We start from the raw sequence: 26,707 nt of genomic DNA, 5'->3' as shown, positions 1-26,707 counted from the left end.
ACTCCTGAAGTGCTGGGATTACAGAGGTGGGCCACCATGCCTGGCCATCTCTGTCTTTTAACTGTGCACTTAGACTATAGATATTTAAGGTGATTATTAATATACTTGGATTGATATTTATCATATTTTTTACTCTTTTCTACTTTTTAACCTTGTCCTTTGTTCCCATTTTTGTCTTCCACTATTTTTCTTTTTTTTTTGGTTTTAATTAAGCATTTAATATGATTTCAGTTTTATCTCCTTTCTTAGCATATCAGTTACATTTCTTTATTTTTTTACTTTTTAAAGAGATTGCCCTTATTCTAATATATGTTTAGAACTAATCAAAATGCACATTAAAAGAACACTATGCAGCTTCATGGGTAATGCAAATATCTTATAATTCTAACTTCTTCCTCTTGTCTTTTGTATTACTGCAGCCATTCATTTCACTTGTATATAAACACACACACACACACACACATATACATATATATATATCTACACATATATGCATACATAATTAAATGTATTTTTGCCTTCTTTATTTTGAGCAAAATGTTATCTATCAGATTAATTAGAAATAAGAAATATCCAACTTTTTACTTTACTTTCACTTATTCTTTCTCCTATGCTCTTTTTATATTGATTCAAGTTTCTGACATATATTATTTCTTTCTTTTTTTAAACAGAATTTTTATCTGATACTCATTGGTATTTAGACATATTCAGACACAGAATGTAAAATCACTCTTTTAAATACTTTCTATAAAGTACATATACATAAGGGAAATAAATGGTATCTAGTACTCCTTCAAATGAAGTATCAAATTCTTCTGACTCAATTTTTGACTTGGTTATCAATGGCCAAGTGTTTCCACACAGTATTGTTCTATGTATTGGTGATACAGTATTTCTTTTTCTTTTAATTGACAAATAATAATTGTATATATTTATGGAGTACAACGTGATGCCATGATACATATATACATTGTAAAGTGAGCAAATCAGCCTAATTAACCACACACACACACACACACACACACACACACACACATCTCATATACTTATCATTTCTTTGTGGTGAGACTATTTAAAATCTACTCTGAATATTTCTTAAAAGTATGCTCCACTATTTTATTTTATGTATTTCAATAGTTTTTGGGGAACACGTGGTTTTTGGTCACATGGAAAAGTTTTTCAATAGTGATTTCTGAGATTTTGGTGCACTCGTCACCCAAGCAGTGTACAAGGTGCCCATTGTGTATCATTTTATCCCTCACTCCCCTCCCACCCTTTCCCTGGAGTCCCCAACGTCCATTATATCATTCTTATGTCTTTGTGCCCTCATAGCTTAGCTCCCACTTCTAAGTGAGAGCGTATGATATTTGGTTTTCTATTCTTGAGTTACTTCAGTTAGAATAATGGTCTTCAACCCCATCCGGGTTACTGCAAATGCCATTATTTCATTCCTTTTTATGGCTGAGTAGTATTCCATCATGTGTGCATACACATACTCATACACACACACAAACACACACACGTACACACACACCACATTTTCTTTATTCACTGTTGACTGATGGGCATTTAGGCTGGTTTTATATTTTTTGCAATTGCAAATTGTGCTGCTATAAACATGCATGTGTGGTGTCTTTTTCATATAATGACACCTTTTCTTCTGGGTAGATACCCAGAAGTGATATTGCTGAATCAATGGTAGTTCTACTTTTAGTTCTTTAAGAACTCTCCATACTGTTTTCCATGGTGATTTTAGTAGTTTATATTACCACCAGCAATGTAAATGTTCCCTTTTCACCACATCCATGCCAATATCTATTACTTTTTTGATTTTTAAATTATGGTGATTCTTGCAGCAGTAAAGTGTTATCTCATGTGGTTTTACTTTGCACTTCCCTGATAATAAGTGATATTGAACATTGTTTTCATATGTCTGTTGGCCATTTGAATATCTTCTTTTGAGAATTGTCTATTCATGTCCTTTGCCTGCTTTTTGATGGAATTAGTTGTTTTTTTTGTTGCTGATTTTTTTGAGTTTTTTGTAGATTCTGGATATTAGTTCTTGTCAGATACATAGTGTATTAGTCTACTCTCACACTGCTGTAAAGAGATACCAGAGACTGGGTAATTTATTTTTTAAAAAAGGTTTAATTGACTTACAGTTCCACATCGCTGGGGAGGCCTCAAGAAACTTATAATCACGGCAGAAGGCACCTCTTCACAGGGCAGCAGGAGAGAGAATGAGAGCAGAGTGAAGGTGGGAGCCCCTTGTAAAACCATCAGATCTTGTGAGAAGTCACTCACTATCATGAGAACAGTATGGGAGAAACCACCCCCATGATTTAATTATCTCCACTTCATCCTGCCCTTGACATGTAGGGATTATTACAATTCAAGGTGAGATTTGGGTGGGGACACAAAGCCAAACCATATCACATAGTTTGAGAAGATTTTCTTCCACTTTGTGGGTTGTCTGTTTATTCTGCTGATTGTTTATTTTGCTGCGCAGGAGCTTTTTAGTTTAATTATGCCACTCTATTTATTTTTGTTTTTGTTGCATATGCTTTTGGGTTCTTGGTCATAAACTCTTTGCCTAAGCCAATGTCTACAAGAGTTTTTATGGATGTTATTCTCTAGAATATTTATGGCTGGAGCTCCCAAATTTATAAAACAATTACTACTAGACCTCAGAAATGAGATATACTGCACAATATTAATAGTGGGCGACTTTAATGCACCACTGACAGCATTAGACAGGTCATCAAGACAGAAAGTCCACAAAGAAACAATGGGCTTACACTGTATCCTAGAACAAATGGATTTAACATATATTTACAGAACTTTCCACCCAACAACTGCAGAATATACATTATTTTCATCAGCACATGGAACATTCTTCAAGATAGATCATATAATAGGTCACGAAAACAAGTCTCAATAAATTTCAGAAAATCAAAATTATATCATGTGTTCTTTCACACAACAGTGGAATAAAACTAGAAGTTAACTCCAAAAGGAACTATAAAAACTATGCAAATACATAGAAATTAAATAATCTGCTCTTGAGTGATCTTTGGGCCAACAATGAAATCAAGATGGAAATTAAAATTTCTTTGAATTGAATGATAATAGTGACAAAATTTACCAAAACCTCTGGGATACAGCAAAAGCAGTTTTAAGAGGAAAGGTCATAACATTAAATGCCTACATCAAAAAGCCTGAAGTACAAATAGACCATCTAAGATCATACCTCAAGGAACTAGAGAAACAAGAACAAACCAAACCTAAACCCAGCAGAGGAAGATAAATAACAAAGATCAGAGTAGAAATAAATGGAATTGAAGCAAAACCAAACAACAACAACAACAAAAAAAACCAAAAAATAAATGTAACAAAAAGCTGATTCTTTGAAAAGATAAACAAAATTAATAGACCATTAGTGAGATTAACCAAGAAAAGAAGAAAGAATATCTGAATAATTCAATTGGATCAATTAGATTCAAATATTTAGATGGGATCAATTAGAAATCAAACACGAGATATTACAACTGATACCACACACATAAAAAGTCATTCAAGGCTACTATGAACAACTTTATGTGCACAAACTGGAAAATACAGAGATGTGTAATATAAATTCCTGGAAATACAAAATCCTCTTAGATTAAATCAGGAAGAAATAGAAACTCTTAACGGATCAATAACAAGTTGCAAGATTGAAACAGTAATAAAAAAATTGTCAACAAAATAAGTCTAAGACCAGATGGATTCACAGTTGAATTCTATCAGACATTCAAAGAAGAATTTGTATCAATCTTAGTGAAACTATTCCAAAAGATAGAGAAAATGGGAATTCTCTCTAAATCATTCTATGAAGTCAGTATCACCCTAATTCCAAAATCAGGAAATGACATAACAGAAAAAGAAAACCACAGACCAGTGTCCATGATGAACATAGATTCAAAAATCTCCAAAAAATTCTTGTGAACTCAATCCAACAGCATGTAAAAAAGATAATGCACAATGATCAAATGGGTTTCATACCAGGAATGCAGGGATGGCTTACCATACACAAGTCAATAAATGTGATACCTCAGATAAACAGAATTAAAAACAAAAATCATATGATCTTCTCAAGAGACACAGAAAAAGCATTTGACAAAATACAGCATCACTTTATGACAAAAACCCTCAGCAAAATTGGCATAGAATCGACATACATCTAGGTATGGTTTTTCTAAGAACCAGCTTTTAAAAGCCATCTATCATAAAACCACAGCCAACATTATAGTGAATGGGAAAAAGCTGAACGCATTCCCCCTGAGAAGTGGAACAAGACAAGGATGCTCACTTTCACTGCTTCTATTCAACATAGTGCTGGACATCCTAGCCAGAGCAATCGGACAAGAGAAAGAAATCTTTCCAAATCAGTAAAGAAGAAGTCAAACTGTCACTCTTCACTGGTGCTATAATCACATACCTAAAAATCCCTAAAGATTCATCCAAAAAGCTCCTAGGTCTGATAAATGAATTCCGTAAAGTTTCAAGACACAAAATTAATGTTCACAAATAACTGCTATACACCAAAAATGACCAAGCTGAGAACCAAATCAAGAACTCAATCCCTTTTACAACAGTCACAAACAAAATAAAATACTTAGGCATATATCTAACCAAAGAGATGAAAGATCTCTTCAAGGAAAACTACAAAACACTTCTGAAAGAAAGCACAGACCACACAAACAAATAGAAAAACATCCCATGCTCATAGATGGGTAGAATCAATATTGTAAAAATGACCATACTGCCAAAAGCAATCTACAGATACAGTGCAATTCCCATCAAAATAACATCATCATTTTTCACACAACTGGGAAAAAACAATCCGAAAATTCATATGGAACCAAAAAACAGACCACAGAGCCAAAGTAAGACTAAGCAAAAAGAACAAATCTAGAGGCATCACATTACCTAACTTCAAACTATACTACAAGGCTCTAGTTACCAAAACAGCATGGTACTGGTATAAACATAGGCACATATACCAATGGAACAGAATAGAGAACCCAGAAATAAAGCCAAATACTTATAGCCAACTAATCTTTGACAAAGCGAACAAAAGCATAAACATAAAGTGGGCAAAGGACACCCTTCAACAAATGATGCTGGGATAATTGGCAAGTCACATGTGGAAGAATGAAACTGCATACTCATCTCTCACCTTATACTAAAATTAACTCAGGATGGATCAAAGACTTAAGTATACGACCTGAAATCAAAATAATTTCTATCTTTCTAAAGGACTTTTTTTTTTTTTTTTTTTTTTTTTTTGGGGACAGAGTCTCACTCTGTAGCCCAGGCTAGAGTGCAGTGGTGTGATCTTGGCTCCCTGCAATCTCTGCCTCCCGGGTTTAAGCGATTCTCCTGCCTCAGCCTCCCAAGTAGCTGGGAGTACAGGCACGTGCCACCATGCCCAGGTAATTTTTTTGTATTTTAGTAGAGATGGGGTTTCACCAGGTTGGCCAGGATGGTCTCGACCTCCTGACCTAGTGAACTGCCCGCCTTAGCCTCCCAAAGTGCTGGTTTAAACGGCTTTTAAAATTTCTTGCAAGGCAGGCCTACTGGCAACAAATGTCTTCAATGTTGTTTGTCTGAAAAAGTTTTTATTTTTCCTTCACTTTTGAAAGATAACTTCACTGAGTATAGTGTTCTAGATTTGTGTTTTTAAATTTTACTTCATTTTAAATATAAAATATACTTACATCATTTAGCATCTTTACCATCTGTAAGTGTGAGGTTCAGTGGTAATAAGTACATTTAATTATTTTTCCCCTCACCCTATTCCCCTTTCTGGCCTCTGGTAATCACTGTTCTACTCTTTATCTTTATGAGCCATGTTTTATATCTTAATTTCCACATATGACTGAGAACTTGCAATATTTTTCTTTCTGTTCTTGGCTTATTTCACTTAACATAATCAACTTCAGTTCTATCAATGTCGGTGCAAATGACAGAATGTTATTATTTTTAATGGCTGAGTAAAATGGTGTACATAATACCATACTTTGTTCATTCATTTGTTGATGGGCACTTAGGTTAATTTCATATTTTGACGATTGTGAATAGTGCTACAATAGATATGGAAGTGCAAATATCTCTTTGATATATTATTTTCCTTTCCCTTAGATATATACCCAGTAGTGGAATTGCTGGCTCACATTCTAGTTCTAGTTTTAGCTTTTTGAGGAATCTCCATCCTGTTCTCCATAGTGGTTCTACTAATTTGCATTCCCACCACAGTGTTTGAGGGTCCTCCTTTCTCCACATCATTGCCAGCATCTCTTATAACCTCTTTTTTTGATACAAGTCATTTTAACTGGAGCGAGATATCTCATTGTGGTTTTGATTGCATTTCTATAATTAGTGATGCTGAACATTTTTCATATACCTGTTGGCCATTTTTATGTCTTCTTTTGAGAAATATCTGTTCAGATGTTTTGCCAATTTTTAAATCTATTTGTTGTTTTATTTTTTCTTTTGCTATTCAGTTATTTGAGCTCCTTCTATATTCTGGCCATTAATTCCTTGTCCTGTAGGAAGTTTGCAAATATTTTTTCCCATTCTGTGGGTTAACTCTTCATTTTGTTGATTGTTTTCTTTGCCTTCCAGAAGCTTTTTAGCTTGATATAATCCCAATTGTCCATTTTCACTTGCTTGACTGTGCTTTTGAGGTCTTACACAATAAATCTTTCCCCAGACCAATGTCCTGAAGCATTTCCTCAATGTGTTCTTCTAGTAGTTTTATAGTTTGATGTCTTACATTAAGTCTTCAATTCACTTTGATTTGATTTATGTGTATAGTGAGAGATAGGGGTCTCATTCTTCTGCATTTAGTTATCCGGTTTTCCCAGCACCATTTATTATAGCGCTGCTATAATAAATGCTATAAAGCATTTATTATATTACTTATGTTATTATATACACATTATATATAATAAATGCTATATGCATTTATTATATTACTTATATGTATATTATATCTAATATATACATTATAGTAATATATTATTATATTACCTATAGTATTACCTATAGTAAATACATTACTATAATGTATTTACTGCACTGCTATAATAAATAAATCTCTCTCACCCCTTGACTGGATCTCCCTGGAGTTTTTATCTCTCAAACTTGTTTTCACTGAATCTCCAGCAATTCATCAACTACAGTTTGGATTTTCCTATCCCAGCACTGGTTCCTGTGGAGGTTTCAGCATGTGGGTTTCTTCTTCCCTAAGTTTTAATTCTCTGTATTTGCCTGTTGGTCTCTCCAATTTTGGAGGCAGAGGTTTGCCCTGTGGTCTCATGTCTTCTGTGGCTCTCAGAAGTGTTGTTGATTTTTCAGTTCGTTCAGCTTCTGGCTAGTTGTTAGGATAGAGCGGTGGCTTCCAAACTTCTTACAAGCCAATCCAGAATCTGGAAGACCATTTGTATTGTCATTTAATTTTTGCTCTCAAGTTTGGATTTTCCTGGTACTGGGGACTTTTGTGACAAGATGGCATTGAATATGCAAAAGTTTAATTACCTCAATTGTTTGATTAAGCAACTGATTTGAGAATTGGTCAGTGAGAGTGAGAAGTCAGCCACAATAATTTTAGATTAATAATAGTTTAGAAGAACAATGTTGATTCTGTTGCTTGTGCCAGTTAACAGTGGGTGAAATCTGAAGTCTTTCAGACATCAAGATACAAAATGAAAATATCACTTCTACTCTCATATGTTTTAAAATAGTTGTATGTTAATCATTACAGATAAAGCTTCTATTATGTCCTGACAAAAAGGTGTACCTTGGATGGCAAATCTGGAAAATTGCAATACTGAATATAAGTATAAAGGCACATATGTATTGTGTTATTTAGAATTTTTTGCATTTAAGATTTTTGAATGGGTAATCAAAATCATTAACATAGAAGATTTTCATATTTACCTTGAGCACAAAGGTTTTTGTAAACTGGTTTTTTTAAAAAGAGTAGGATTTAAAAAGGGAGCAATGAAATATATTGTTTAGCATGCATGTTTGACACTTTGGGTTTATTGATATGTTCTGCCTTTTATAAGATGAATACTATGACAAATGACAGAGAAGCGATTGCATGCCACTATCTCTGTTCTATCCATGTACTGCCAGTGGGCAAAGATTTCTCATTTCATACATCATTTACAACTTCCTACAGTAATTTTACATAGTTCATATCCTTGGTGCAAGGCATAGCAATTATCTATACACATATATGCATGCAGGCATAACGAATATGAAAACCATGGAGTTCTATAAAGAGTTCCAAAGTTCACACACTCCAACCAATAAAAGTTGGTGAAAACCAGTAAGTTATCTAATTTAAAAACTTTTCTATTTTAACTATTACTCTGTTGTGCACCTGTGAACCAGGTTATCTCTTGAGGTCTTCCTTTAGACTACTGAATATAATAGTAAAATGCTATCTTCAATTTTTCCAAGGTACTTTTGTATACCAAAAGTTACATTAAAAAAGAATAATATTAATTTTTTCTATCTACTTTTACTCTTTTGTTTCTAAATAGATAAGAAAAATAAAATATTGCATTCTGGAGTGAGAAAAAATTAAAATTCAATGATTTTTAGTTTTAAATATAAACAAACAGTTGAAGTTTGATGACATTTGGCTATTTTGAATTTTCTGAAATTAATTAAAGTTGCCATGATTTTATTAAATTTTTCAACCAATATTGTACAAATAACATTTACAGAGATTGTAAAATCCTAAACTGGTACATAATTAATAATACCCAGAAATAAACTTTGAACTCTTTCGTGTGTTATGTATGATCTAGGATTAAATTTTACTTTTCATATTTTAAATTTTTCAAATTTCGGTCTAAAAAAATGTAGTGGCTTCCATTATATGTGGGTAGAATAATGAATGGTAACTAGATCCTTTCAAAAGTACAGAAATTAATGCTTTAGATTCAGCAAACACTTTTGACTTATGCTAGCTATTTATTAATGAATAAATACCCTATCTCCTTTCAAAAATTACTTAATATATTGACACTGTATATTCCTACTCCTTCACAATAATAATTTCTTGACATTCTTTTCTTTCTTTTGAAAAATCACTGCTTCAAATTTTCTTTTATTAGTCTTTACTGGCTATCCATGCTGCATCAGAAAGTATAACATTATATGGAGAAGGGAATGTTTCTCAAAGCTAGGTTCTTATGGTCTAAGACAAAACAGAACAAATAACTGATATATCCTACCTTTGTGACTCAGTTACTAAGTTCTGATAAATGCACAAAAAAATTAGAGACCTATGTTCATTAGTTAAACTCAGAAGAGATTTCTAGTGCTATTCTGCCATTACCCACTTTTTTGTCCTTGGGTTAGCCTCTCTTTGTACTTCAATATCTTCATCTATAATGTAAAGCAAACTGGATGATTTTATATTTTCTTCATATAAGCAAGATCTGCTTTATTGGCCATGACCCCAGAAATCTTTAATGTCTAGAAAGGAAACAATATGGCAATTTTTTGAAGGGTACAAAATGAAGACATGGCTTTTTAAAATCAAGATTGTTTTAAAGACTATTGTATTTCACTTCATCTGCCTATAATCTTAGTAATGTTACAGTCAATGACAAATACTAACCATAGAAATAATTCCATTGTATCTTAATTTTATGAGTAGTCACATTTAAAAAATAGGCCAGCATTTTCATTGAACACTCAAATCCATATACCTGCTTTCTGTAGTTAGTTTCCTTTTGAAGGCCATTCAGTAGGCCTCTTAGAATGCCTGAATAACATCGGAATAAAGTAAATGTCCATTCAAGTGTGATTTAGAGTTCTTGAAATGGAGAATGAAGTCAAAAGCAGTTCTTTTAATGATCTTAAAAATGGAAATGACTGTACAAAAGCTACACTGATCAATTCTCATAGCATTGACCCTAAAGTTATAGAAAGACCTATAATAGCAACATACACAACACAGATGTGGAAAGTCACATTAGTAAATTTCTAGAGGCTAAGTAATTTTTTCTTCTTTTCTAATGTTGAAATTCTAACCAAAGCTATTTTTGCTTATAATGCTCACTCTTTATTACACACAAATAAAAGAAAAAGTGCAATTATCAGCAAAAAAAATTAAAAAAATAAATGATAATACAATTAAACCATAATCAGGTTTTACCTCTTCCTTGTTGATTTTATACTAATGATATATTATCATCCCTTCATTCAGGATATATTCATTCAGGTCCTCTGAGTACACAAAAAGTAACTAAATCTTAACTAGCTAAACCTTACTTAGTTTGACAATAATTAAATTCAGTGTTAGATTCTTGCTGTAATAAGGCTAAGTACATGTATTATTTTTCTATTGTATAGGAAGTTAGCATAAGTGTAGTGGCTTAAAACAATAGACATTTGTTATCTAACAGTTTCCGTAGGTTAAGAGTCTGAATACAGAGTAGCTGAATTCTCTGAAAGGCTGCCGTCAAAGTCTTGTTGAGGACTGGGTTTTTATCTAAAGGGCTGACTGTGGAAGGACTCACGTCCAAATTCACTCAGGTTATACCATGATTCATTTCCTTGTGACTGCAGGATGGAGGGCCTCATTTCTTGCTGGTTGTCAGCTGGAGATCCTTGCAGGCTGTTGGCTGGAAGCCTTTCTCAGCTCCTAGAGGCTGCCCTTAATTCCCTGCTACATATGCCTTCTAACATTGCTGCTTGCTTCGTAAAAGCCAGAAAGTAAAGTAAGTGTGTGTGTGTGTGTGTGTCTGTTTGTGCGTGTGTGTGTGTCTGGGTTGAGAGAGAGAGACTACAGTTAAATGGAAGCTATAATCTTATGTAACATATACATATAATTACATGTAAGTAATAATGTGCATCCCACCACACCACCTCTGCTACATTCTTTTAGTTAAAAGCATAAGTTACAGGTCTTATCCACATTCAAAGGAAATAAATCACACAAAGGCATAGATACTAGGAGGTAGGGGTAATGGAGAGACCTTAAATGTCTCTCTGCCATACTACATGATATGGTTTGGTTGTGTCCCCACCCAAAATCTCATCTTGAATTGTAATTCTTAAAATCCCCATAATTCCCACATGTCAAGGGAGAGACAGGGTGGAGGTAATTGGATCGTGGGGGTGGTTTCCCCCATGTTGTTCTCATGATAGTGAGTGAGTTCTCATGAGATCTGATGGTTTTATAAGTGTTTGGTAGTTCCTCCTGTGTTCCTTCTCCTTCCTACCACCTTGTGAAGAAGGTGCCTTGCTTCCCCCTTGCTTTCCCCCATGATTGTAAGTTTCCTGAGGCCTCTCCAGTTATGCTGAACCATGAGTCAATTAAACCTCTTTCCTTTATAAATTACCCAGTCTTGGGTATGTGTTTATAGCAGTGTGAAAATGGACTAATACACTATATAAAGCTAATATAGGTAATAATGCAGGTATAAGCAAATCACTCCCAAATAAATACATAAATGAAAACTGTTGGGTATAATTAACTTTTTTTGCATGAAAATTAGCAAGTTGAACTTTGCTATTAGCAAGCTACATGGCACTCAATAACTAAATCACCTCTCTAGACCCAGAAGAGTTTGGATCCACTTCTGAAAATTGAAAGGATTGACTTTAAATGACTGCTGAAATCCTTTGTAGCTCAAGACTTCTACAAGGCTTAGAACATTTGGAATAGATAGAATTATTTAATATATTAATATTTTACTTTTTACCCCAGACACGTATCCAGAAGTTTACATCTTTTTTTTTTTTTTTTTTTTTTTTGAGATGGAGTCTCACTCTGTCGCCCAGGCTGGAGTGCAGTGGCACCAGCTTGGCTCACTGCAAGCTCCGCCTCCCGAGTTCATGCCATTCTCCTGCCTCAGCCTCCCCAGTAGCTGGGACTACAGCTCATGCCGCCACATCCGGCTAATTTTGTTTTTGTATTTTTAGTGGAGACAGGGTTTCACTGTGTTAACAAGGATGGTCTCGATCTCCTGACCTGGTGATCCGCCTGCCTCGGCCTCCCAAAGTGCTGAGATTACAGGTGTGAGCCACTGCAGCCGGCCAAAGTTTACATCTTCTAAGGGCTTATCTCAAGACTGCTAAATCTAGCAAGATTTTAATTTAACGTAAATGTGTTTTTGAGTATCTTCTCTAAACAAGGCAGTAGAAAGTAGTAGGGTTCTAGAGTCAGATACTTGACCTTAAATACTAGCTCTTTCTGTTACCAAGAGACCTTTAGCAAAATATTTAATCTCTTTTTATTGGTAACATGACACGATAATAGTACCAAAACTGTTGGATTTTTGAAAAGATTAAATGACATAATATGTACAAAATGTAAGTTTCTCTGCATTGAAAGAAATAACAAAAATGGTGCTTTACTGAAATATTTCCTCTTCTAGAATATGCCATTATGTTTAATTTCCCTTGAGATTTATCAGAAACCAGGGAAGAGTTAAAATTCTTGTTTAATATGATAAATATGGTTATTTTAATAATTGAATAATTTCTGCTGGATTTTATCCAACACTTTCAGGAAGAATTAACTAGGGCAAGTTTTATTTTTTTAATGTAAAAATCATATCTGTCTTATGAAAATGTTCTGTTTGATTCTGTATATTCTGTTCTTTTGAGAGCAGATTTCCAGGTACAACACTTCATTGTTATTAATAAATGGGCCATACATAAATTATGCATTAAGAAAAAATAACAGACAAAAGCACTGGCATCTCTTTTGCTAGGTAGAGGAAACAGTTTTAGTGTCTGACATAGAAGAAAAGAGAGTCAGTGTAATTTCATAGAATTACAAGCAGCCAAATTCACACCCCAACTTATCTTTCAAACTCTTTTTTTGTTCTCCACATAGAAAAATCACACAGAATGAGAAATAACCATGCAGTGACAATCATTTTGCTTTGGAGAAAAATCCTCATTCACTAACCTCTTCTGAAGACTTTTTTTTTTTTTCACAGTCTTGGGTTTTCAGTCACTGAACTTCTCTGGTGACCTGGGGACAAACCCAAAATACTGAAAAGTGCAAAAGTTGATGTCTCAGTCCATTTGGGCTGCTATAACAAGATACCACAGAATGAGTAATTTATAAAACACAAAATTTTATTTCTCAGAGTTCTAGAGGCTGGGAAGTTCAAGATCAATGCATTGGCAGGTTCATTGTCTGGTGAGGGTCCAGACTCTACTTCCTAGATGAAGTCTTGAATGCTGTGTGTGTCCTTTGAAGGGGGAAAACACTTGTCTTCACATGACAGAAGGCAAAAGGACAAACGGGAAGAACTGCTGACAAGACCATTTAAAAGGTCCCTGACTTAATGACTTAATCATGACTTAATCACCTTCTGAAGGTCCCACCCCTTAATACTGTTACATTGGCAGTTAAGTTACAACACCTGAATTTTGGATGGAACACATTCAACCACAACAGCAAGAACTAAAAAACTTCAATGAAAGTGAGCATCTTTGAATGCTGACAAACACATAACATGGATGTTATAAAGCATGGCATATATTGATGTGTTTCATGAATATGTGGATGCCTTTTAAGGGAAATGGCACAATGAGATGGATGAAATATAGATCTACTGATACATTTATATTTACTTTTAACTTCAAGGAGTAAAAGGGGTTTATCAAAGAAGTTGAGGAGAGAAAATCAAATAGCTGCATTCTCGGGTGGTGAAAATTGCAACAACTCCTTTTTAGTATGTATCACAATCTTAAATTGTCTTTCCTCCTCTCGTTTCCTTCTTTGTTTTTTTTTTTTTTTTGCCCCATTAGAATGTCAGATCCAAGGTTACAGGGAATTTGTATGTTTTGTCTATCACCTAACCCATTTCCTAAAGTTGTATAAGGACATTGTCGGTGCTTAAAAAAAATTGCTCAACAAATGAATGAGGAGTAGATTTGGATGTTTTCTGAAACATCTGTCCAAAACGAAATTAATTATGACGTTAATTTTGGTGTCGTCATTCATGTCTTCTTTTTTTTCCCAATTAAACCATGTTTTTTTGTCTTATAAGTTCTGTTTTGATTGTTTAGATGCCCAAATAAGATACAATAAAAAAATTCTTATAAGTTTAGATTCCGTGTTCTTTTTTTAAAAAAAATAATGTTAATTTTTTAAAATGGTGAATTTACGGACAACTTAAAGTACAGATAGGTCTATTTGATGGGAGGAAGAGAGACTAGAGAGATTCTCAGTTGTTTCCAAATTAATAGTGGAATGAACATCATGAATGAGTTGACATTAGAAGTATCTTCATTTATTTCTCTTTTTTTTCCCTGTGTGGTAAATATAAATTCTAAACACTTTTGACTAGATTTGTTAACTGATAATAATTTCATTACATTGTCAGATGATTGAATTCATAGTTATAGAAAGGTATCGTTGATAGTGGTGAAGAACGTTTAGCTTCCTTTATCTCTTGTGAAGATGTTTTAATTTTTAATTGCCTATCCTTGTCTTTCTCAATAGTGCCTAAATGTGATATATATCATTTTAATAAGATCAATATATACAATTCCAAACACATTTTATTTCAAATATAAACACCTAATATGGTAATACAATGATTTTATTTCAACATACATTATTTTGAAAATATTTTTAAAGTTTCTAATTTTGCTATTGTAATTGCAAATGCAAATATGAAATATGAATACACACTGGAGAATAAAAAAAGCTATAATATTTACTATATTTACAGGATAATTATAATTTTCATATTTAAAAACCATGCCATTTAGTTGAATTTGCTTGCTAATGGAATCACAAATGCTATAAGCTTTGTTTGCAGATTTCTAACTTTGTGGCAGATGTATAGAAAATGGGGGCTTATAAAGCTTGGCAAACATCTATGTTGATCACTCGTATTGACTTGTCTTCCTTCTGGATCATGAGAAAGTAAAGGTAACCCAAACTGAAAGTACAAAGAGAAAAAATGGAACTAGTAAACTCTACAGACGTTAACTTCCTCTGAATTTCAGCATACAATTTGCCCATACAGGTTCCATTAAAGTTAATGGGAGTCGTGTGACTAATTCTCTCTGTAGGGTACTAAAAATGTACCCTGCAGTATTAAAAAGTCTGAACCTAATTTTTACTTTCTCTTAACCTTGATTATGTTACACTAAAGATAGGTACTTTCATTATCACATATATATATAGAGTAAATTTTATATAAAGATCTGAAAATAATCTATTTGGGGAAGAGACTGCATTTATATGGATCAGAGTAGAATTTTAATTAGTGTTGCAAATATCAGTACTGCTTTCATTATAATGATAAAACAAGCATGAGTATCTGTAATTTACCCTCCAGCTATACAAATGAGAACTTAAACCTCAATGAATTCAATAAATGAAACATTTTCAGGACACTTACTTAAAATCACGTCTACTTTTTAATCAGTCATGTTTTAAGTGAATGCTTATTAATAGATCATTAATAAAACATGCTTATGAAATGAGATTTCAAGAAAGAGGTGACATGAATGAAATACAAAGAAAGTAAAAAACCTGATGGAATATTTAATTTTGTTTTAAACAGTTCACTTTATAGTGAGTTACATTAGAAGTATTATTTCAAGCTAAAAAATGAATTCAAAATCTTTTTTTTAGTTCTACATGAAGATAAAACACTACAGATGATATTGCCTGTGAATTCATGACCCTTTTTTACTGCCCAAGTTCCCTCTGCTTTTGACATTCAAACTGAAATATTAATCTCATTTTTTCCTTTAAATAATTTCTGCCTGGCTTCTATCACTACCTGGGGGGATGAAGTTATAAGATTTTATTCTTAAAGAATGCAAAAAGAAAAGAACAACTATATACATGAATAAATACTCTACCATTCATTTTTTCACTGAAATCAGCAGCTATGCTGCAAAAAAGGGACATGCACAAAATATTTCCTAAGCACAAAGAACACTGGGAAAAGGCAGGCGATATTGCAGAACAATAAATAAAGCAGAACACTCTCCAGGGGTCTGGGGTTTGGTTTGAATAGCATTCCAGAAGGCGGAATTCCTGCCCAACACCAACATAAACGGCAATTAAAACTGAACTTCATATGTTACACATACATCTTCTTCTCTGGGTTTCTAAGAGTCTCTATGTCTAAATTACAGTAGAATCCTTTGAATGTGGGTGGGGCTGGAAAGAAAAGTTACTATTACTAACAAGTCACAGTTTTCAATGTATTGAACCTGATGTCAGACTCCTAGCTATTGAACTTCAGATTCTTAGAGTACTTCCAGCTCATGATCCCATTACTTAGAATTTACTTTGAAGCTTGTAACATTTGGGGTTTGTGCTGCCACTTGCCTTCCTGATCTGTAGGCTCACTGCTGAATGCTGTAAGCATGCAACTACAACGGGCTTTAGGGACCCATTGGACCCAGCTTTCTGGCTGATTTGTGGCATCGACCTCAAAGCAGCAGAGGAAGAAGATGGTTTAATTCTTGTTACTTATAAGTTACACTTACATGAAAACGAAATCTTAAGTGGGACTTCTAAGAAATACATCTGGTAGTCTGGGCTATGCCAATAACTAGCCAAGCCACATAGCTCTCACAGGTTTAGCACAATTCCATTCTGAATTGTTCTGATTCTTGAGCTGACTCTATAGGGCACTCTCCATCCTTTTTAAAGCCATAAGGTAAACCTTGGATTAAAAATAATTTTCCTATACAAATATCTTTCCTTTTTTTTTTTCTTGGATCTTGAAATTAATGAAAATTGTATTTAGGATTTTGCAATGTCTTTTGAGATAACTAGAAGCACTGCGGGATGCTAGAATTATTTGTCACTACTTAAAAAAAACAACAGTTATTGATGAATTTTGTGGCTTTCTAAGAAGAACAATGTGATGAGTTGAAAAGAATGCAGCTCAGACTGAATTAAGTACAATGTACCAAGAATATGCAGTGACCCAAGATGACATACCTGCATAGTGTGTGTTGGTGTTTAACAAAAGGATCAAGCCCTTCGCACTAAGAGAGTGTCTCTACTGCGGATTTAGGTCTGATACTCTTCTGCCATCACTTGGATTCTGTGACTCCACTGCTAGTCCTCATTTTGATGTGCTTCCATGGGGGCCTCCTTTGCTTTGTAATTGTTTGGTCCTACTTTTGTATCAGGTTGCAGAAGTGATCTTCTCTATCTCCCACTGCACCCAAATTCTACTAAAATTATCTTTTTACTTGTGTCTCTTTTCTTAAAATGTAAGTACACTAAGGGTAGGGACCATGTTTCACTGTTTGGCACAACTGGTGCTCAAACTTTGCTTATTGAGTGGGATAGAAAGAATGGAACACACACTTTCAGAAAGTTCTCAGTCTTCCGATTTATAATTGCTGCACATTGAATTTTTAAATAGAGATCTAATTTGCATTACAAAGCCTCTGTCAAGGATATTTCTTTCATTTTAGCTATTTCTACCCAAATTTGCTATGTTACAATTTTGTACTGTGCTTAAAGGTGAGGTTCTTTTTATGCCCCCATTACACGAAAATGTGCTTTGCTAGAGCCTTCCGGAAAATATGTCCTATAAGATGCCTCATGCTGGTGGTCATTTCTGGATTCCTTCTACCTTTAGTGAATGTTCCAAGTACATTACAGGAATGGAAGCCAGGACTCTGGCATAAAGAGCTGCCTTGACTTCCCTATGGCAGGGACTGCTAGGTCTGTATTACCCTGTTATGTGATGATTCAGTTCACCCCAATTTGCCCTTTGGGAACTGCTGTGAAAATTTCTTTTGTACAGTAAATCATGACAGCATTTGGCCTTCATTTGGGGGTGAATGCATGGTTTATATATTGAACCCATTTCTTTTTTTCCCTTCAGAAATACCATGTGGCATCAATTTGTAAGCACAAATCAAATGGCAGTTTGGGATCCTCCAGATGATCCAGAATATTCTGTATTAAGTTTTTAAAGGTTATCACAGCAATGAAAACCTAACATTGAAAAAATTGAGACTCGTTGAATCCGCAAGAATATATCCTTATACCCACAGAGATATTCAACACTAGTTAAAGAAAATCTACTTTGAAACATTTAAAAATGCTGGAGCAGTATTTGCTCCATTCTAGAATTAATATACTATTTAGAAATATGTACATTATATATATTTGTATATATATGCATTATATATTTTTTATCCCTAATTTTTTTTTAGAAACAAGATCTCACTCTGTCACCCAGACTAACGTTCAGTGGTGCAATCATGGCTCACTGCAGCCTCAAACTCCTGGGCTCAAGTGATCCTCCCACCTTGGCCTCTCAAGTAGCTGGGACTATAGGTGCTTGCCACCACAGCAAGCTAATTTGTTTATTTTTTAGTTTCTTTTAGAGATGGGGGATTACACTATGTTGCCCAGTCTTGTCTTGAACTTCTGGGCTCAAGTGATCCTCCTTCCTCAGCCTCCTGAGTTGTTGGGAATACGGGTGTGAGCCACTACATCCAGCTATATCTTTATCTTTCTATATCTGCATCTATATCATCTATCTATATCTATAAATATCTATATCTATAGAGCTAAAATCTGTTTTTTCCACCTAGTCAGCAGAATTTTATATTAGTTATCTTTAGCCACAGGTGAGATTAGAATATAGAAAAAAAAAATCCGAGACAATTTTGTAGCTTCAACTTTCAGATATGCCATATATGGACAAATACAGTAATTCCCTGAGAAACTGCTTGCTTCTCTGCCTTCAGCCACCCAAGGAACATCCCAGGCTCAGCACTATGGGTTTCCAAATTTATCCATTCAGCCATACTTGTGGCTCTTGTGGTTGGTCTGTGGCCTGAAGCTTAACTTGCCCAGTAGTTCTATTTCCCAAAATAGGCTCAGGAAGTTTGTGACCATGTTTGGTTTGTTTCAAAGGGTTTCTACATATTTAATGAGGTTGTGAACATATACTAAGATTTGTATATTGTTCATCAAATAAAACATATCTTCAACCCTCTTTTCACTTCAGTGCGTGGTTTGGAGCTGTTTTACAAGCACATGTGTTTATCATATGACTTTATTTGGGGACAAACACCACCCCTTACATTTGGGATACAGTTTCTGAGTAGCTGAACACTCAATTTCATCCCTCCCTATTCAAGAACAAATGTTAAGCCGGGTAGCTCTTTTCTCTTATTTTTGGCAGGTTTCTCTGAATGCTAAGGTGTCTTACTTCATCCAAATGTTCCCTTTATCATAGGAGGGTAAGAAAATAGCCTGTACCCTGGAGATCTTTTTCACCCAGAAAGGCATTTAACTAGTGTCTTTCTGTGTGCTGGGGGGAGTAGGGAGCCTCTTATCAGTTACATGCATTTATGAGAACAATGTGTTCCACTGGTTTGTGCACCAGAAGAGGATCCTGGAAATTTTCATCTTCTGTTCCTCAGCCTTGCTGAGACATTAGGCAAATTATTTAGCTCTTAGGTCACTGACTTCTTTTGTTTTTCTATAAAATATCTTCTCCTAGCACAACAAAGGGGCATTATGACTAATACTGATAATAGCTATAAAATTTATTTTTCTTTTTTAAGTCCCTATCATACCATATAGAGCAACAGAGGTGGTCTTTTACTAAATGAACCTTGGTGAGTAGCTAAATGACTCACACAATACCTTCCAGTTACTGTATAATGTAATAAACCACATTCTATAAATAAGCCAGATATAATAGATAAAATGTATTTCATTTGATGATTCAGATCCAATTCAATAAAGCAGAATATTCCACAGAGTTTAGTTTCTCTAATTGCAGGAGATAAAATTGATTTTCCTATATTTTCCGTCATGTTTCCCTCCTCCACTCAGTGTTTGCTATAGTTGCTGATTGTGAGAGAAAACTAGAAATAGAATTTGCTATGAAATTTAAAACTTCACAAACTTCATGGTGCTTCATTTGAAAAGCAATGTGGAGCTGATAGTTTGTATGAAATTCTGATGTGGACTTTTTTTCTTAGAAGTTTACAAGGAAAGGGGAAATGTCTGAAATGGAGATTGCACAATCCTGTCTTGAAGCAGAAGACTCAGCTAGAGCACATCTGGAAACACCTGGCACTCCTCAATAGAATTCAAATGCTATTTTAAAAGGTAGTATGGTCCTTTCTACTTCCCGTTGATCTGGGTCAAGGATTTGGGCAGTGCAGCCAATGCATTGATGGGGAGGAGCCCAGGATGTGGCTAGTGCTGCGGCTGTGTTGGTAACCTTAATGGGACGGAGCAAATCAGGGAGTACACTGAAGATAATGACAGGCACCATTCTTGCAACATTTATGTAAAGTTTTACACTATTTCAAAATGAAAAGTAAAATAAAATTTTTAAAAAGCTGACATGGTTTAGGATAACAATTTTACCAGAAGAATATCTTATGTTGCATTTAGCCCATGTAGAACATTATACATATATATAATGTTATATATTTCTTTATGTTTTCTGGTGTGTACATACATTTATCGATATATTCTTATTGATCTAGTTTCTCTAAGATTCTGACATATTTCAGAACAAAGGAAGAAATCTTACCAGTCAGTTCAGTAAGATATTTGGAAAGGGAGACTTGAATATGTGAAAAATTTATTTTGATCTATAGAAGATGTTAATATTATTTTCCTTAGTTTTTGTCTTTCTGATTACAGGCTTAACGCAACCTTGTATTTCTCTTTTAAGTGATCAGGAGCAGAATTTGCAAACTTTTTAGAATATGTATTTTAGTTCAAATTCCCCCCACCCAAAATTAATTTCATCTACGTATGCAGAAAGTATAATTTATAGTAAAGTGCTAAATCTAACCTGATTTCTCTCCTTAAAATTAGGTTTAAAATAAATTAAGCAGTACCTAATGTGTTTCCTAACAAGGCTCAGGGTACACAATGTTCTTTGGTTGGCCACAAAACACAAGGTCCTTGAGCTGAGATGACAGATTCTTCAAACAGACATATCCTGTACAAGGTGCCTTAAAAGTGAAGGCATTGCTGCCATTGGCTTGCAGGCTTTATATTGAAAAGGAGAATTCTGAAGGAAGGATGTTTGTTTTCTTCTTTTTTAAAAAATAAAATGATTTATAAAAACCGCACGTTTTTCTTTTTTGCTAGATGTAAAATCTGAGCTGCAACACTGAACAAAAGCTGTACTTGCCAGCCAGCAAAGATGCTACCACTCTGCACAACAGATAAAACCCATACATATAGGGAAGTCAAAAGAGTCTTTAAGCTACAGTGTTTGAGAGGCTGTTTGTCTCTGATGGAAAATTAAGAAAATGGTAAGAGCAGCGTTAGCATGAGGTGTTCATTCCAAATTTGTCACTGCAGTGTGTGTGGCATTGTGTGCAAAAACAACTCTTCAAGCAAAAACACCTCCAGCAAACTTCCTCCTTCACTTCAAACCTCATCTTCAATTACAATGTGGTTCCTACAAAGTAAAGGGCTGTTGTCCTCTCTTCAGACCTGTGCTGCTTCTGCGCACTAGCCCTGTAGACCATCAAGGCCTAAAAATAGCTGCTAGATTCAATGAGACATGAAGCTGACAGAAATGGCATCAAGCTAATTGGCAACAAACTCTATGAAACCTACTCAGGAAATCATATTTTTAAGCTGAACACCAAGTGGATTCTTGTTTGAATGTGAGGCTAACTTATTTTTATATTTATATTTCAAATAAAACAAAGGGGAATTGTTAAAGAAGAACCTTTTTATTTCCCTTATTATATATTTATTTAATCCTTTTAAAAGTTTTGTTAACAAAATCTTTGGATTCAGTGATATTTATTTGAAAAGATTGTTATCCACACATTATGATTAAGAAAGTGGGGCTTAAAGAGGTGCAATGACATGTCCTTAGTCAAAACATAGACAACTTGATTCTAATCTATCAGGAAAGACGACGATATTTATAAGTAACCAGAACACAAAGTGCTAAGTTCAATACTCATATTTTGAATAACACAAGAAGTAAAATCCTTTATTTAAAGAATCAAAGGGTTATCAGAAGAGAAGTTATTGGTGGATGATCACAGAGCTAATAGCCATAATTATACATGACCTGCTGGAAGATGGAAAAAACATAACACAAATCTTACCATTTCCTCTGGTAGTTGATTCATAAGAAAACTCTTAGGTCTTGATTGTTTACTTGAGAGTGTTGCTATTGTTACTCAACTTATTTAAAAAAAAAATGGAAAAGTTAGTTTTGGTGGCTGTTGTTGTCTGGAAGAAATAGACTATATTCAAAATAAAAATTGCCTGAATAAGTCAACATGATTGCATAATTTTTCAAATGTTGATTCCTAATACACAGATTGTAAGGATTCAGTTCACTGGATGAGATGTTGTTTTTAGAAATGATCTGCCTTCTCTGTTCATTCACATTCAATTCAAGAAGTAGGAAATTATTCTGGAATCTTTTTTCTCATTATGGTCTTGATGTGAAATTCATTTCGTGGTTGCTGAGCATCTTGAAAATACAGTGGATGGTTGCAACTACATATTCCTCTCTGGTGATTTTACTACAACTGCTCAAATAACAAATGATAAAATGTTTTAGATGGTATATTATTTATTTTACTTGTCTTAATGGTGAATTTACTTAGTGTTTTCAAAAGGAATTCCATTTCAGAATATAAAATAGCATTCTAAAATTCTATAAAATGTAGATAATTTAGAAACCTGAGTTATAAAATACATAAATATGATTCAAACATATAATCAAAATAATATATGACTTTTATAATATCTTTCTGCTCTAGTTAATCTTTCTGCCTCCATTAATTACTGTAACATACCTTGAGGTAGGTAGAAATAAATTAACTATGTTTAAGCTGTAATGAATTTTTGGGCAGTGCCCAGCAGAAAATAATATTGAACAGAAGACAGAATTGTGACTTCCAGATTTCCATTTGAAGGTCTTATATGCTGGGAGAAAACTATAATTTATTATCACAATAACATTTCTAAATCAAGTCAGTTTCAAAGAGAAGTTGATTTACTCTGATTTAGGCAGCATTTCCTCTAAATGTGGAAAAGGTTTTTAAGTTACTTTACCTGGAAAGACATTTTTATCAGATGGCAACGATTTTACTCACACTTTCTATAGTTTCCTATATCCAAGTTGTGATTCTTCTTAAACAATCTAGAAGATATGCAGTACTAATGCTTTAGGATATCATCTCCATTTTTATTGATATAAGTACAACTTCAGAATAATTTATTTTAGGCCTTTCTAAGATGACTTTAGCTATAGAGTTTGGGGACAGGATGAATTAGATACCTTAGATATGTCTGATCCTAAAAATGTAGGTTCTGAAATATATTGCACTAGTTTTCAAACAATTAAAATAATTAAGTACACCGTCTTAGATAGATAAATATATTTTCCAACTCATGGCAAACGAATTGCTCTGTATAAAGAAAATGTAACTAAATATTAGCAGTTACTTGATAATGCATTTACTTATAGTCCTGCAGAAAAGAAGATGCTGGCTGGCTGGCTGACAATATTAACTTGGAACACCCTGGTGTATCCAGATCCTCCTGGGAGTGTCTCTAGGGGCAGGTTGCAGAGCTTCAACCTTCTCCCTGGCCCGTGCAACAGAAGCAGATTTAAGGATGGCCCCAGACTGAGAGAGATGGAGACAGAGATAGAGATAAAGGGCAAGAGCCAGAGTGGGAGACAGTGTGTGAGAACATCCTTAGAAGACCAAATTAGCATTAAAAAATTACAACGATTTTCTGGGTTAGATGTAAAGGCAAGAATATAAATTTGAAAAATGGACCTTGAAAGATTGTAGAAAATTAGTACACAAGAACATCATGTAAAAAGGAATTAGAGGATTTTTGTTAGCAGCAAACTCAGTAAATTAACAATAAAATGAGGGAGTCCAATTGCTCACTTTATTTTTGTTGTTGTTAATGTAATACTAATAGGAACAGAGTGCCTAGAGAAAATAAGATGATATCCTGGGGAAAAACAGTTGGTGCATCATTTTCAGTCCTTGTCAGCATACATTTAGAGCACAGAGTATGTAAGGAGAGACCACTAGCGTAAGTGGGAGTTCTAGAATCAATATTCTGTTAGTTAAAAAAGGTGAGACTGTTTTGTCTAAAAAAGTGAAGGCTGAGAATGTAGTGACTCTCTTCAAATATATGAAAAATTGTTTCTAGAAAAGAGACTAAGCACATTCCCTGTAGTGCTTTAAGAATGCAATCAGAACAACAGGCGAGGGTTGTAGAGAGGTATATTTCGCTACCATACAGGACAGTTTTCCCCCCCTCAATCACTATTGCTATTCATCAAGGCGCTAGTTGTCTTAAGGGAGAATATGAGTTTTGCATTACTAGAAATATTCAATATAACCTTTATAATTTTTCTTTTCTTTTTATTTTCAAATAGAGTCCATTTCTAAGAAGATGTGGTTCGAACATACAGAGCTACATAATATGAGTAAAATAGGACCTAACAGTAGTGTTCTCCAGCATTGCTCTGCCTTTCCTTTTCTGGATGTAACAACATTACTAAGAAAGGAAGAAAAAGCAAAAATCTGCTCTCGGGGAGATTCCAGAATGTTGGAAAGCCCCAAATGGAAGTCTCTGCTTTGGTTACAGGACATAAGGTTTAATAAATAAAAAGATGCTCATCTGGGATGCTGCACCAATTATCATGTACTAAATAAGGTTACCTACTTCACTCTCCAGGTAGAAATGTCTATCATAAGCATGTGCCACAGAAGGTCTCTCAAGTATCATTATTGGCTGTGTTGAATTTTGTTTTTAGTTCTCTTTTATAAGGTCTGTAGTCTTACTTTCAGTGAGGAAGTGTTTTCTCAGGTTCTCAAGAAAGTAACAAAATGCCAGCATTGTCAAGGTCACCATTGCCACTGAATTATCTTACTGTCTGATTATTCCATCTTCCTCTGCATCATATTAGCCTGATGACTACATTCTAATTATTTAAAGCGTTATGTAAATCAAAGCAGTAAATGTAATTTCTAGTCTTACTAGATATCATGTACATTAGGTCGAATAACTCTAGAAATGTCGTCATAATCATGTCATGCCTAATGATGACCTACTCAGCCCCTGCCAACATCATTCAATTACTCATTTCAGTATTGATTTTTCTCATGCCTCTCTTCGTGGCATTTAAACAGCCCTCACATCTCCCCTTTTACTGAGGTGTAATGTTGTATAATGACAGAGATGCTTTGCTTCCCAGATTCATAATGTTACACTCTGTTTCAAATCCTTTTGGAGACAAATTGGGGAATCAATATATAAATAATGACACACTTATTTTTAATTAAAATCACTGCTTTCACAGAAATGGTATATTAAAATTATTTTTGCTAAAAAAATTTTAAATACCTATGTACGATAAAAAGACTGCCAATCCTTGGGATCAAGAATATAATTTGCCCCAAATAACTTTTCTGTAAAAGTAGAATTCTTAATGGAAAATAGATTAATACATATAATTTCAAGATCTAACCTTAAAAATGGAAATAATGTGTCCATTTTTAAAAATAAATCATATTTACATACACTGTGTTTATGAGAGTTGTTTTGGAATGAAACTTCTTTGCATTTGAGATCAAATTCTTTTATTCACAAGAATTACATTATCTTTTTCAGCTGAATGTTATGTTATACTCTTCCAAAATCTATTTTCCCTGCACTCAAGTAGCGGTAAATATTCTTTTTTTTTTCTGGAAATTGATAGTCTAATTTTCTCCTGCCTCTCTTTGGCACACCCTCATTTTGCATGAGATATGCTCCTTAATAAAATTTCTACTCAATATTACAGAAACTTCCAGAAATGGCATCTAAAATATTACACTGGCCCGTTTAACTTCACCTTCACTAATTGCAATACATTATACAAAGAGCACTGTGGACAAAGGTGGAATATTTAACTAACTGGATTTGGTTTCACAAACAGTAATAAGACTTTTAAAAACATTATTAGAGCATTTATTTCATCTCCTTTGCAATATATTTTTCTTCCTTTTAAACTAGGCTTTCTAAATTCTCATTTTTAATGTTTCAGTTGAAAGAACTTTCACAAGCCTTTAAAAGACATTATGATTTGAATTATTCTTGCCTAGAAAATTACTTCTGATGTTTAACTTACATTCTCCTTTATTCAATTGTAGCTTCAAACTATCTTAGAAAATTAATTTGTCTTATAATTTTCCCCTTAAATCATTGTAGGTAATCTCAATATTTTATCTTTCCAAGCACACATAGTACTATTTAAATTTCCAGAAAATCTGAAGATAACTAAGATTTCCTTTAACTTTTCATGTTTGATGAAATGATGCAGATATTCTCATTTAAGTAGTGAACCCTAATCTCATAAAAAAAGTAAGAATATCCCATAGGAACTTTAAATTGTTGTACATTTTTCCTGTTCATGTAATATATTTTCATTTGGTTTCTAAAACTCATTTCAAACACTCCCATCAACACACTCCAATCAAAAACTTGTTTCAAACACACTCAATCAACAAAATGGAGGTGTTGCTTTTCTTCTCTAAGCTTGATGCCAAGATTCTAACCTGGACATTTTCCTTCAAGTTTCCTTTTTCCTCAGCCACATCACACATTTAATCTAACACTAGTCCAAAATGTAATCTG

General features: G+C 34.0%; 1 long non-coding RNA gene across 1 annotated transcript in view; it reads left to right on the top strand.

Moving 5' to 3' along the window:
* Positions 1-25,613, top strand: part of ZFHX4-AS1 (ZFHX4 antisense RNA 1) — a 72,397-nt gene extending 46,784 nt beyond the window's left edge. The window contains exons 3-4 of the long non-coding RNA NR_024360.1: positions 20,041-20,170; positions 24,465-25,613. This is a non-coding gene — a long non-coding RNA (ZFHX4 antisense RNA 1). The remainder of the gene's footprint in view (positions 1-20,040; positions 20,171-24,464) is intronic.
* Positions 25,614-26,707: the final 1,094 nt, after the last annotated feature.

This window comes from Homo sapiens, chromosome 8 (assembly GCF_000001405.40).
Source record: "Homo sapiens chromosome 8, GRCh38.p14 Primary Assembly".
Classification (NCBI taxonomy): Eukaryota; Metazoa; Chordata; class Mammalia; order Primates; family Hominidae; genus Homo; species Homo sapiens.
The sequence above is the reverse complement of the archived record's forward strand: the minus strand, read 5'-3'. Positions and strand labels throughout refer to the sequence as shown.